Genomic DNA, 13,288 nt, shown 5'->3' with positions numbered 1-13,288 from the left:
CTTTCCTCCTGGTCCTCCTTCTAGGCTGGGGTACCTTCTGTTAAGTGAGTGAGTCCCAAACTCTGTCATCCCTCAAGGCATTATTCCACCTGAAACTGAATAAAGTAAAAGAAAAGGAAGAAAAGGAAAAGCAGTGAAGAGAAAAGAAAGGAAAATTCGAGTGCCTTTTGCCTTCCTGGAGAAAATTATATCTTTCCTAATTCTGATGGGTGATCACCTGATTGTTTCTAAGTAAGAATTTTTATCTGTCTGATCTTGGTCCATTTGGCCTGGAGGAAAATTGAAGTGATTATTACCCAGGAAAAGATACGGTGATAAGAGGGTGTTACCTCTGCTTCAAAATACATCTACAAAAATATAAGTAGACCTCTATAGCTGGAACAAATGAAAAGTATTTAAGAATTAAACAACACTATAGGGGAGAATGTTGTTATTAAGATCAAACAGACAAATCGGATGGTTTTGAGTGTCCGATTCAGAGAAGTGGCTTTGCCTGTTGTTTTTCCCCTTTAGTTGGGTCCATGTGATCAGATGGTAATTTGGTGTTGCATATTTATCCTAGATTTAAAGTAGGAAAAAACACAGCATACCTTTGCGTATGACTGACTATTTCTTAGCTCTTCCATGGAAGCTGAGGAAGCATAGGCTTTAGAGAGAGGCAACCTCAGTTCAGGTCCTGGCTCTGCCACTTACTAGTTGGTGATCTTGGGAAAGCTGCTTAATAAAAATACCTACCTGAAAAGATTATTTTTAAAATACCTGCCTCATTAAGAATATTATAACGTGAGTTAATACATATGAAGTTCTGAGAGCAGTCTGGGGTATACTGGGTGCTAAAAAATTTCACAATGATTTTTATTTAAATGAATCTAAATGAGTTCCCATAGGTTCTTAATTATTATAACTAAAAAGAAGGGTTTTGTGGTCAAATAAGTTGAGGAATCAGGTTTAACACTTTTTTTTTAATTTTTTTGAGACAGAGTCTTGCTCTGTTGCCAGGCTGGAGTGCAGTGGCAGGATCTTGGCTCACTGCAACTTCCGCCTCCTGGGTTCAAGCGATTCTCCTGCCTCAGCCTCCTAAGTAGCTGGGACTACAGGCCCCCGCCACCATGTCTGGCTAATTTTTGTGTTTTAGTAGAGACAGGGTTTCACCATGTTGGCCAGGATGGTCTTGATCTCTTGACCTCATGGTCTGCCAGCCTTGGCCTCCCAAAGTGCTGGGATTATAGGCATGAGCCACCGCACCCGGCTGACACAATTTGTTTTAATAATAGTGTTTCTCAGAGCCTTTACTATGCAAATTTGTGTTACAAATATCTAAGGAAGAATTGACCCTCTAATGTTTGACCATGTAATCCTTTTTCACAGACAGTGCTGATGCCCAAGTGAGGGAACAATGGGTTTCCCAAACTGTGGCCCTGAAATTAAGGAAAATGTTAGGCCTGGCATGGTGGCTCACTCCTCTAATCCCAGTACTTTGGGAGGCCAAGGCAGGAGGATTATTTGAGTCCAGGAGTTCAAGACCAGCCTGGGCAACACAGGGAGACCTCATCTCTACAAAAAATTTAAAAATTAGCCAGGCATGGTGGTGCACACCTGTAATCCCAGCTACTTGGGAGACTGGGGTGAGGGGATCTTTTGAACCTGGGAGAAGGAGGCTACAGTGAGCTGTGATTGTGCCACTACGGTTCAGGCTAGGCAACAGAGCAAGACTCTGTTTCAACAAAAAAAAAGAAAATAAAATTTGGAGTCAGGGTGTATGAAGCACTAGCACAATAATTCAAAAAATGGTCATTGGTTACTATATAGACCTCATAGGTCTCAGTTAGACCCTGTTTAAAACTGCATTTTTCTAAGTGGGACTGGCAGGAGGCAAAATAGTGTATGGTTAAAACAGACTCTGGAATCAGACAGATCTGGGTTTGAATCCGTCAAAGCACATTACTAAATATCTCTAAGCCTCAGTATCCTCAGCTGTCAAATTTGGGGAAGAGTGATACTTACCTCCTTGGCTTGACATGAGTTAAGTGAAGTTATGCCTGGTTTTGTTGGTCTGATCCCAAAGCTCTTAGAACCACTGTGCTTTAAAAAATTACTACATTCATGTAATCACAACAGCAGGGCTAAAGTCTGTCAACAAATAATGAATTACTTCTGTTCTCAACCACTCTGCTCATTCAGAGCCCTTGGTGCCTCCAAGGATGCAGTTGAAAAAGCAGGAATGGAAGTCAGCCTCTGTGGGTTGTAGAGCACACTTCGTGCTTGATCAAGTAGTTTATTGATGAACATACATGACCAATTTACAAAGATTACCACATCTCTTTGTGCCCAGTTTTCCTGTCTGAAAACAACAAACAAAAACAATAACAGCACACCTTTCTTACTGATCTCAGGGTAATTGTTATCATCTGAAATGCTCATGTACATATGATTGTCTTGCACTATGAAGGCCTATCGCTTTTTCAAAAACAATTTATTGAATGCTTACTGTAGTCCAGGAAGTATACTAAGTCTTACATGTAACACTTCATTTTAATTCTCACTATGAGGTGGATATTATTATACCTAGTTTAGAGATGAGGAAACCAAGGCTCAGGGAGGCTAGGTCCTGCTAATTTCCAGCAAGCTCTCATAATTAATAAGTAGTAGTGCCAAGAATAAAATTCAGATCTGATCCCAAAGCTCTTAGAACCACTGTGCTTTAAAAAATAAGAATATTAAAACACATTTTAAGTTTGAAATTAGTATTGGCCACATATAATTCATCTCTCTATCAGGTTCTCCAAACCTTTTTGCTGTTCTAAAAACCCTTAACTTGGACAGCAGCCACCAGTTAAATGAATGAGGATGAAGCATTAGGTAGAAAACAAAATGGTCAACACAGGATCCAGTCTCTTAGTTGGATGATTATTTATGGACACTGGCTAGTTGACTAACTTTCCCTGTGACCTAGATATATTTGCTCTGAGTATTACTATGACTAGCATATATTTGAAGACACCAACTGGAGACAGTTTAGTCAGCTGTATTAGTTGATCTATGATGTCCCTGAATGGCAAACTGACTGAACAGCAGGCAGCTTCATGGACTGAAGCTGGTAGAGCAAGGTCTCTGTCAGAGAGGAAGAAAATCCATATTAATGATACACTATAAAACACTTTTTGTTAGTTACATATATTCCTTTACTTTCATTTCCCAAGAATAGCTCAGCTGTCAAAGCATTTCCAAGATTTCCATAGATTCGGCAAATACTGTGCGATCGAATTATTGCTCTGAGAGAAGATACAATTAAAACACATTAATCATTGTAACAAAAGATCCTTATTGAGGCTGACAATGATGGTGAAATCTGATGAATAATTAGTCTGGTTAATCTTTTAAAAGTGAATTAAACTGCTAACAAGTTAAATCGCTGTGATTTTCAAAATAAGCCTCCAGGGAGAGCAGAGATTGGGGATTATTATGATCATTGTAAAAAGATATTTTATTCCTCTCTCTCATCTCTGAGCTTGCACTGGAGACCCTGTGGTTAGAAAAGTGGGACTCTGACAACCAAGTGGGAGAATGGTCACGGTGTGAGGGTGTGTTCTTTGCTTTTCCCCCCAATGATTTCTCTATATTTTGAAGAGAGTCGCACAGTGGCTGGAAAAGGAACTAGGCATGACCTTTCAATCTGACCCAGAACTAACATGGCACCCGCTTACCAGCCATTCTCAAAAACCCATCCATTAAGTGGACCCATCATGTGGTTCTGATGTCTTGCCACTGTAAACCAATCAACTGTAACAATGGGGTCAGTCTTGTATAATTTTCCCTTATTTTTACCCTTCTCTTCGGTGAGATGGTTTATTCTTCTGGACAACACCTCTCCTCTTAGCATAGGAATGAAAATCAGCTTTGATTTGCCGTATTCTGAAATAAAATGAGATGGACAAATATGAACTGATAAATCATGGGAAATGGGAAATGGATGGAAAGCGGCAACAGTCATTTGGGCTAAAGTCTTAACTCTGGCCGATCCTCTACAATTTTTGCAAGTTGTAGTGAACGCTGTGATGCATGGTCCAGATTCCCCTCTAGGAGTGAAGGTCTTTTTCCCCTAGCCACTGGCAGTGCTACTGGAACTTGGCCGTCGGCTGTTAGTCCCCTAGGAAGATTGCACTTGCGTGAACAAAATTGCCTCTCCTGAGGTCACACTTCCTGCCAGGATTTTTTTTTATCAGTGTGGGGTATTAAGATCAGCCTAAGTTGGGACAACTCTGAGAGGTCATCCTAGTGCTTAAAGAGTTCCCCGTGGCATCAACTGAGGCCTTTGTTGGGATGGCATTACAACTCGACTTCTACCCAATCCCAGTTTCTTCTCCTTCTTTCTGTAAATACTGATCATGAGAGCACTCCTTAATCAATCAACTCACTGCTAAACTTCATCTCAAAATCTGACTCCTGGCAGCCTTACCCTATGACAGGAGAAGTCACGCTTTTGAGGTGGAGGTCTCTGACAGCTACTGGTCCCACAAAAACAAGTGGGAAAAGTGTGTCCACCAGGCTGTCAACTCAGCTGGCGGAGAAACTGCTGCATGTCCTAGCTCCGAATTGCTCCCACAGCCAGTGCATGCGTGTCAACAGACACTATAGGAGTATCAAGAATATTTAAAGGAGACTGGGCATGGTGATTCACGCCTATAATCCCAGCACTTTGGGAGGCCAAGGCAGGCTGATCGCTTGAGGTCAGGAGTTTGAGACCAGTCTGGCCAACAGGAAGAAATCCTGTCTCTACTAAAAATACAAAAATTAGCCGGGCGTGGTGGTGCACACCTGTAGTCCCAACTACTCAGGAGTCTGGGGCGTGAGAATCCTTTGAAGCCGGGAGGTGGAGGTTGCAGTGAACCAAGAATGTGCCACTGCACTCCAGTCTGGGCGACAGAACAAGACTCTGTCTCAAAAATAAATAAATAAATAAATATGCCGGGTGCAGTGGCTCATGCCTGTAATCCTAGCACTTTGGGAGGCTGAGGCAGGCAGACTACGAGGTCAGGAGATCAAGACCATCCTGGCTAACACGGTGAAACCCCGTCTCTACTAAAAATACAAAAATCAGCCGGGTGTGGTGGCGGGCGCCTGTAATCCCAGCTATTTGGGAGGCTGAGGCAGGAGAATCGCTTGAACCTGGGGGGTAGATTTGCAGTGAGCCGAGATCGCCACTGCACTCTAGCCTGGGCGAAAGAGCAAGACTCTGTCTCTAAATAAATAAATAAATCAATAAATAAATAAATAAATAATAAAAATATTTAAAAGAGTCTGAGGGTGGGAGGAGAGAAAGAGAGAAACTATCATAGACAAAAAGCTTGTAGCTTTAAAAATTTGTCTTTGAGTTAATCTTACCTAGTTATCCTTGGCATTTGAAGTCAAATAGACTTTAAGCAATTTCTTTATTTTGGGTTAGCTACTAAATTTTTCTGAGGTGGCTTCCTCATCTATAAAGCAGAAAGGCACAATCAGCCTCACAAGCTTGTCGTGGGTTGAAACATCAGTTGCCTAGTAGTCCCAAACCTGGCCTTTGGTAGACACTTGGTAAGAATTTATTTATCTTGTATATCCTCCATTCTCCTCATGCCATTTTCCAGATTCCAGGAAAATCACTGCTTTTCTTTTTGTTGTTGTTTTCTGATTGGCTCCATCCATCCCAATGTTTTTCTGGGGATTCTGTTTCAGGCTGAGGGTATCTGACAGTGTTTGGCCACCCATCTTCAGACTAAAGGGTCTCTCTCTAGATGGCTAGTCTCATCAATTCAGTCCTATACATTTTAGTTCTGGAGTGGGTGCACTTCATTGTAATCCCCCTGGGAACTGAGACAACCCAGCAATGTCCAAGTGTGATTATTTTCATTTTAAATCTAAGCTCTGCTCTTGGTTTCATGTGCAGAAGTCATTTCTCCCAACTAAACTGTAAGTTCTGTGAGGGCAGTTAGCATATCATCTCTTGCAACCTATAGGATCTAGCCTGGAGGAAGAATTTTTTGCCAAATTACTTGGGGTTGTGACAAAGAAACTAAGAGAATAAACCATGTTCTTAAAAATTAATATTTCCTGGAATCTTCCCAATCACTAAGTGGCAATTTCCAAGCCACTTTAGGTTTTTTTGTTATTGTTGTTTGTTTATTTTTTGAGACAGAATCTGGCTGTGTTGCCCAGGCTGGAGTGCAGTGAGGCAATCTCAGCTCACTGCAACCTCTGCCTCCTGGGTGATTCTTATGATCTGGGAAGTCTGGCGAATAGCAGAGTGGACCCTGTTATGGATTTAAATAGAAAGGACCTTGCCACTGGAGACTGGATCCTGACATTTCTTGAAGGTCATCAGAATTTGTATTTATCACAAATTCTTGAAGCCAAGGAACTAATTCTAAACTTATATCTCAGACCTATATCCTACTAATTCTCCCTATCCCCTCTCTCTGCTTTGTTTTTCTATCACCATCTGACGTACTATTCGCTTATTTGTCAATAAAGATAGGAATTTTGTTTTGTTAACTGCTGTGTCTTTATCAGGACTGTGGCAGGTATGGTGTATAGTATAGCAAATGCAAAAAAAAAAATAGTTGTCATATTAATTAATGTTTCTCCAGTTGGGAAATGGCTTCTGATATCCTGACTCTGTTACCCACTACCCACTTCCATTGAAATGCCTCATGGGAACTTTAAACTTACGTCCAAGATTGAGCTCATCATTTCTCCCATCTCAGCCCAAACCGTGTCTTCTTCCAGTGTTCCATGGCTTGGAAAATAGACTCACCAACCACCCTGCTGCTCAGGTTGGAGTCATCCTTGACTCCCCCAAATCTATATACTGCCAGCCACTAAGGCTTTTTCATTCTACCCGTCATCCAGCTCTCAAATCTGTCCTCATTTCTCCAGCATCTTAGTTCAACTCATCATTATCTCTTGCCTGGATTATTATTATTATTTGAGATGAAGTCTCACTCTGTTGCCCAGGCTGGAGTGCAATGGCGTGATCTTGGCTCACTGTAACCTCCACCTCCCGGGTTCAAGCAGTTCTCCTGTCTCAACCTCCTGAGTAGCTGGGATTACAGGCATGCACCATGACACGCAACTAATTTTTTTGTATTTTTAGTAGAGACGGGGTTTCACCATGTTCGCCAGGCTGGTCTCAAACTCCTGACCTCAGGTGATCTACCCACCTCAGCCTCCCAAAGTGCTGAGATTACAGGCGTGAGCCACCACACCTGGTTGCCTGGATTATTGCAGAAAAGATTCCTCTAGTCTTAACCTCCTCCCCAGTCCATTTTCCTTACAGAGGGATTTTTCTAAAATAGTAATCTAATAATCTTTACATAAACCTTCTCATGGTTCCATATTATTTTTAGATGTAGTTTAATTGACTTAATTTGACAGACTAGGCCCTTCATGACCAATTTCTGTCATCTACTTCCCCATCTCCTTGACCTCTTGATCCGACAAAAGAAACTATTCATTTTTCAAACAGATCAGCAGTGGTGAACCAAGAGTGGAATGGTGAGAGCAATCTGCCTGGGTGAGGGCAGGAATGGGATGCATTGTTTCACAGAACATCCACTTCAGACATGGTCACTGTGCAACACAGAGCACCATATATCCCACTCTCCAGCTTCTTTATCAATTACAGTTTTGGTCTTTGGTCTCTCCCACTATAAGACTTATTAAAATGTCAAATCATAGAATTGCGTCCACTTTCTAATGGCACCCAATCCAGAGTAAACCCCTGCTTCCTTAGACCCTCCTGCAAATTACCCAACTAAAGCCCAGATCCAAACCAAATAGGTTTTTTCTAATATCCTATTTCTGAGACATCCCATGGGTTCTCATGGTGTGTGTCCTCCCTCTATGCAAACAAATAATAAACCCAACTTGTTCAATTACAGATTAGCTGATGATGTGTGCCCGTAGTCTCAGCCTCTCAAGTAGCTGGAACTTCAGGTGTGCACCATCACGCCCAGCTAATTTGTGTCCCTTGTCATTTTTGGCTGAAGGGAATTCATAAAATACAAACAACAAATCTTTCGTAAGTCTTAAGTACTAAACAATTGCTGCAATTACTGTTAATTTTAATTATATGTATATAATTAATATATATAACTTTCAAATTAGCCCAATTTTATTACTTATCTCTTAATAATCATTGCAGTCTTTGTAAAAGGTACTTTGGAACACTCAAGTATACAGTCAAGTCCCATGCATATGAGCTCAGCTCTATGTATTTGTCTCAAGAGTAAGTTTACAATCATTTGGAATCATTCTTGCTCTCAAGTCTTCAGCTCCCAGCATACTACATATTTCTGTGAATATGTATCTTACTACATATTCTAGTGAAAGGAGAAATTGTCCACATGTACAAAGTACCAACCTCTCTTGTCAGTAGACTTGAAATAACAATAACAGTACAGTGACTGTCAAGTCTAAGAAACACAATTTTTAACACAAAAGCTCCAAATGGAAACATTCAGAAGTGTCTAGAGTCAGAGGGCAAAAGACATGAAAAGTATTGCACCTTGTGGAATTTATTATGAAGTGGAATTTTTATGAATCTTTACCCTATTTGATTTTTGTTGCTTCATGTGAAAGAAACTTTTCAATAAAATGAATAAAAATGTTCCTTGATCAACTGTAGGTGAAGGTGGGTTGAAAAATCTAGCTATACTGATTGTTGGATGGGAACATGCAAATAAAACCAGTTTTGATGTAGTCATTGATAAATCTGCAGAAGTTAAATCTCAAAAACAGAAATTATAATATTATTATTCAGCTACAGAACAATACATAGGTATTAGTTTTTCCCCTTTGAAAAATACATTATGAATTTTAAACATCATTTTATTACTCTTTTCCTTTTTCTGTCATAGTATCTATTTAATTTTATTTCTTTACATTTTACAGGCCAGGTGCAGTGGCTCACGCTTGTAATACCAGCACTTCGGGAGGCCAGGGCGAGTGGATCACTTGAATCCAGGAGTTTGAGACCAGCCTGGGCAACGTGGCCAAACCCCGTCTCTATAAATAAATAAATAAATAAAATTTACAGGCATCATTATATATATATGATATTATATAAAAGAAATTTTTCACTATTTTCATTTTTCTAGCCATTATTTTCTTTCTTTTATCTTATGATTCTTACCAAATAATTTTGTGGAATAGAGAAGGGGGCATTTAAAAAGAATCTGCTCTGAATACCCAACTCATTAAATACACTCCACAGAACAGACTTGCTCAGCCTCAGGACCTCAGCCTCGATTTTTCCCCCCATTTCTTGTCAAGTAACCTCCACTCATCCTCAGGCCTTAGCTAAAATGATATTTCTTCTGGGAAAACACCTTTAAGCCTTTTCCAGTCAGAGCCCCTGTTACATTTTCCTCTGGGCCTATACTTCCTTTTTGTATCGTCAGTGTTTGTTCAATTGTTTATTACCATGGCTAGCTTGTGAGTGGCATAAGGAAAGGGTCTGTATCTTGTTTACTCAATAAATGTTTGTTGAGTGCACTAAATTATGAATCGCCTCCCATGACATTTGAGGAAACAAAGCAAGTAAGTAATTGGCGTTAGCTACACAGTGAGTCTTTGGATAAAATTCCCAAAGCAAGAAGCCTCTAAATATAGAAATTCCCACAGCAGGCTTGTGTTGTAACAATCAATAGAGCCAACTGGTTTTTTTTTTTTTTTTTTTTTTTTGAGACCAAGTTTCCCTCTGTCACCCAGGCTGGAGAATAGTGGCACAATCTCAGCTCACTGCAGCCTCCGCCTCCCAGTTCAAGTGATTCTCCTGACTCAGGCTCCTGGGTAGTTGGGACTACAGGCACCTGCCACCACGCCCAGCTAGTTTCTATATTTTTAGTAGAGACGGGGTTTCACCACGTTGGCCAGCCTGATCTTAAACTCTTGACCTCAAGTGATCCACCTGCCTTGGCCTTCCAAAGTGCTGGGATTACAGACATGAGCCACCACACCTGGTCCATAGAGCCAATGTTACCTTCCCTCTATTCTTTCCCTTTCCTTTCTTCCTTTCCTTCCTTCCTTTCTTTCTTCCTTCCTTCCTTCCTCCCTCCCTCCCTCCCTCCCTCTGTCTCTCTCTCTCTCTTTCTTTCTTTCTTTTTTCTTTGTCTTTCTTTCTTTCTTCTTTTTTTCTTTCTTTTCTTTCTTTCTTTCTTTCCTTCCTTCCTTCCTTCTTTCTTCTGTCACCCAGGCTGGAGTGCTGAGAGGTGATCATGGCTCACTGCAGCCTCAGCCTCCTAGGCTCAAGCAATCCTCCCACCTCAGCCTCCCTAATAGCTGGGTGTACAGGTGCACACCATCACACCTGGCTAATTTTTGTATTTTTTGTAGAGAGAAGGTTTCACCATGTTGCCCAGGCTGGCCTTGTGCTCCTGAGCTCAAGCAATCTGCTGCCTTGGCCTCCCACAGTGCTGGGATTACAGGTCGGAGCCATCGCACCTGGTCCTTCTATTCTTTCAATCCCTGCCTCTCTCTACCCTCTGATACCACAGAGGTACCACAGGAAAATCAATGTAAAGATAAAGAAGGTGAAAATCCACTAGAGATGCCTAAAAACAAATTGAATACCAGAAGGGAATAGGGATTGGGGGAAAAGAGAAGATGAGGTATAGGAAATGCCCTTGACCCTAAAGTAGACCTATGAGAAGCAAGCACTTCCCTTCTTACTCCCTGACCCTGCTGGGGACAAAGTTCTCAGAATTAGGAGGAGTGAAGGGATAATAAACTTGGGTCTTCAAAGGCCACCCCAAAAAAAAACCTAGAGGAAAGAAAAGACAAGACTGACTCCTAGAGTGAGGATCAGAGAGTGTCCAGTTTTCCTGAGAGTCCACTGCTAGCCCAGGTCAGCATGTATCAAAAGAGAAGAGCTCAGGCCTCCTGTCCAGGAAATGTCTGGAGGTCTCTTGTCTTTAGCACTTTAACACGCGAATTCAGCTGGGCGTGGTGGCTTACACCTGTAATCCCAGCACTTTGGAAGGCCGAGGTGGAAGGATTGCTTCGGCCCAGGAGTTCAAGACCAGCCTGGGCAACATAGTGAGACCCTTATGTCTACAAAATAAAAATTAAAAAAAAAAAAAAACTAGCCAAGCAAAGTGGCATGCACCTGTAGTCCTACCTACTTGGGAGACTGAGGTGGGAGGATTGCTTAAGCCTAGGAGTTTGAGACCAGCCCGGACAACTTTGTGAGACCCCCAACTCTACAAAACAAAAAAAAATTAAAAAATTAACCCGGCATGGTGGCATGTACCTGTAGTTCCAGCCACTCAGGAGGCTGAGATCGGAGGAGGCTTGAGCCCAGGAGGTAAAGGCTGCAATAAGCTGTGATAGTACCACTGCACTCTGGCCTGGGTGACAGAGTGAGACCCTGTTTCAAAAAAGAATACAAAACAAACCCAAAAATAAACAAAAACAAAACAAAACAAAAAATAAACCAATGAGGACTCAGGGTGAGGAAATACACGTGGCTTATGTTGCTGAGAGCCCTTGAGTCACTTGGGTTCAAGGATGACATCCAACCCATAGGATGCCTCACAGGGGATCCTGAGCAGTCCCACAGCCTTGACCATCAAAGTTGCCCCCAGAAGGTGTGGGTGATTGAATTGGCTTCCCCAGCAGAGAAACACAGCATTCCACGTTGAATTGCTGTAGTGATTAAAATATACATTTTGAGGCAGAAAAGGATTCTTACATTATAGCAGGACCGAGAACTCCAATGTCAGGCTGGAGCCTGATACAAATTAAAAAATAAGTAACAAATCCTTCCGGAGAGGAGCTTAGAATGGAAACACTGACGGGATATAAGTATGATCTGGATTTTGATCACTACATTCTATGGAAGACACCTCCAGTATACAGTAGTTATGTAAAATACCTGTACACTGTTGTCAAGTGGCATTTTAGAAAAGCATTAGGGTAAAGTTAATTTTAAGAGCCTCAAAAACCATAGTAATGATTAAATGAGGACACCAACACTGCATTCTTTTTGCGCAAAGAAATTCAAGAGAGGCAGAAAGAAGAGGGTGACTGGTGGCAATCCACTCAGGTCCTGTCTTTTTTTCCTTCACTTCTAAGAAGTTCTCAGCTTTCACAGTCTATGTTGAAGGTCTAATTGGACAACTGGTATGCATGTGTAGCTTGATACACAGAACTTTCCCAACAGACATACAACATAAGTCACAATTACTGCTCTCAAAGAGTTAACAATCTAGTGCTAGAGTAATTCAAATGCACAGAGTACCAATATACAAAGCTATGCATTATTGATTGGTGCCTTAAAAGTCCTGATTTAGTGGAAGGATTAGTAGAAGTAAATGAAAACAAAAGGCTTAAAAGATGAGTAAAACCCTTATGAAGAGACAAAGATGTGGTGTATTTAGACCATGCCAGTCAAAGGGGCCAAAGAGCAAGAACTATGGTCAGGCAAGGTGGCTCATGCCTGTAATCCCAGCATTTTGGGAGGCCGAGGTGGGTGGATCACCTGAGGTCAGGAGTTCAAGACCAGTCTGGCCAACATGGTGAAACCCCATCTTTACTAAAATTATAAAAAATGACTGACTCTCTTTTCGGACTCAGCCCGCCTGCGCCCAGGTGAAATAAACAGCCATGTTGCTCACACAAAGTCTGTTTTGTTGTCTCTTCACATGGACACGTGAGACATTTGGCGCTGAAGACCCAGGTCAGTGGGACTCCTTCAGGAGACCAGTCCCCTGTCCTCACCCTCACTCCATGAAGAGATCCACCTACGACCTCAGGTCCTCAGACCAACCAGCCCAAGGAACATCTCACCGATTTTAATTCGGGTAAGCAGCCTCATTTTACTCTCTTCTCCAACCTCTCTCACTATCCCTCAACTTCTTTCTCCTTTCAATCTTGGCACCACCCTTCAATCTCTCCCTTCTCTTTTTTTTTTTTGAGACGGAGTCTCGCTCTGTCACCCAGGCTGGAGTGCAGTGGCGCGATCTGGGCTCACTGCAACCTCTGCCTCCCGGATTCAAGCAATTCTCCTGCCTCAGCCTCCAGAGTAGCTGGGATTACAGGCATGTGCCACCACGCCCGGCTAATTTTTTTGTATTTTTAGTACAGACAGCGTTTCACCATATTGGCCAGGCTGGTCTCAAACTCCTGACCTTGTGATCCACCCACCTCGACCTCCCAAAGTGCTGGGATTACAGGTGTGAGCCACTGCACCCGGCCTCTCCCTTCTCTTAATTTCAATTCTTTTCATTTTCTGGTAGAGACAAAGGACACA

Source organism: Homo sapiens, chromosome 2 (genome assembly GCF_000001405.40).
Source record: "Homo sapiens chromosome 2, GRCh38.p14 Primary Assembly".
Lineage (NCBI taxonomy): Eukaryota > Metazoa > Chordata > Mammalia > Primates > Hominidae > Homo > Homo sapiens.
The sequence above is the reverse complement of the archived record's forward strand: the minus strand, read 5'-3'. Positions refer to the sequence as shown.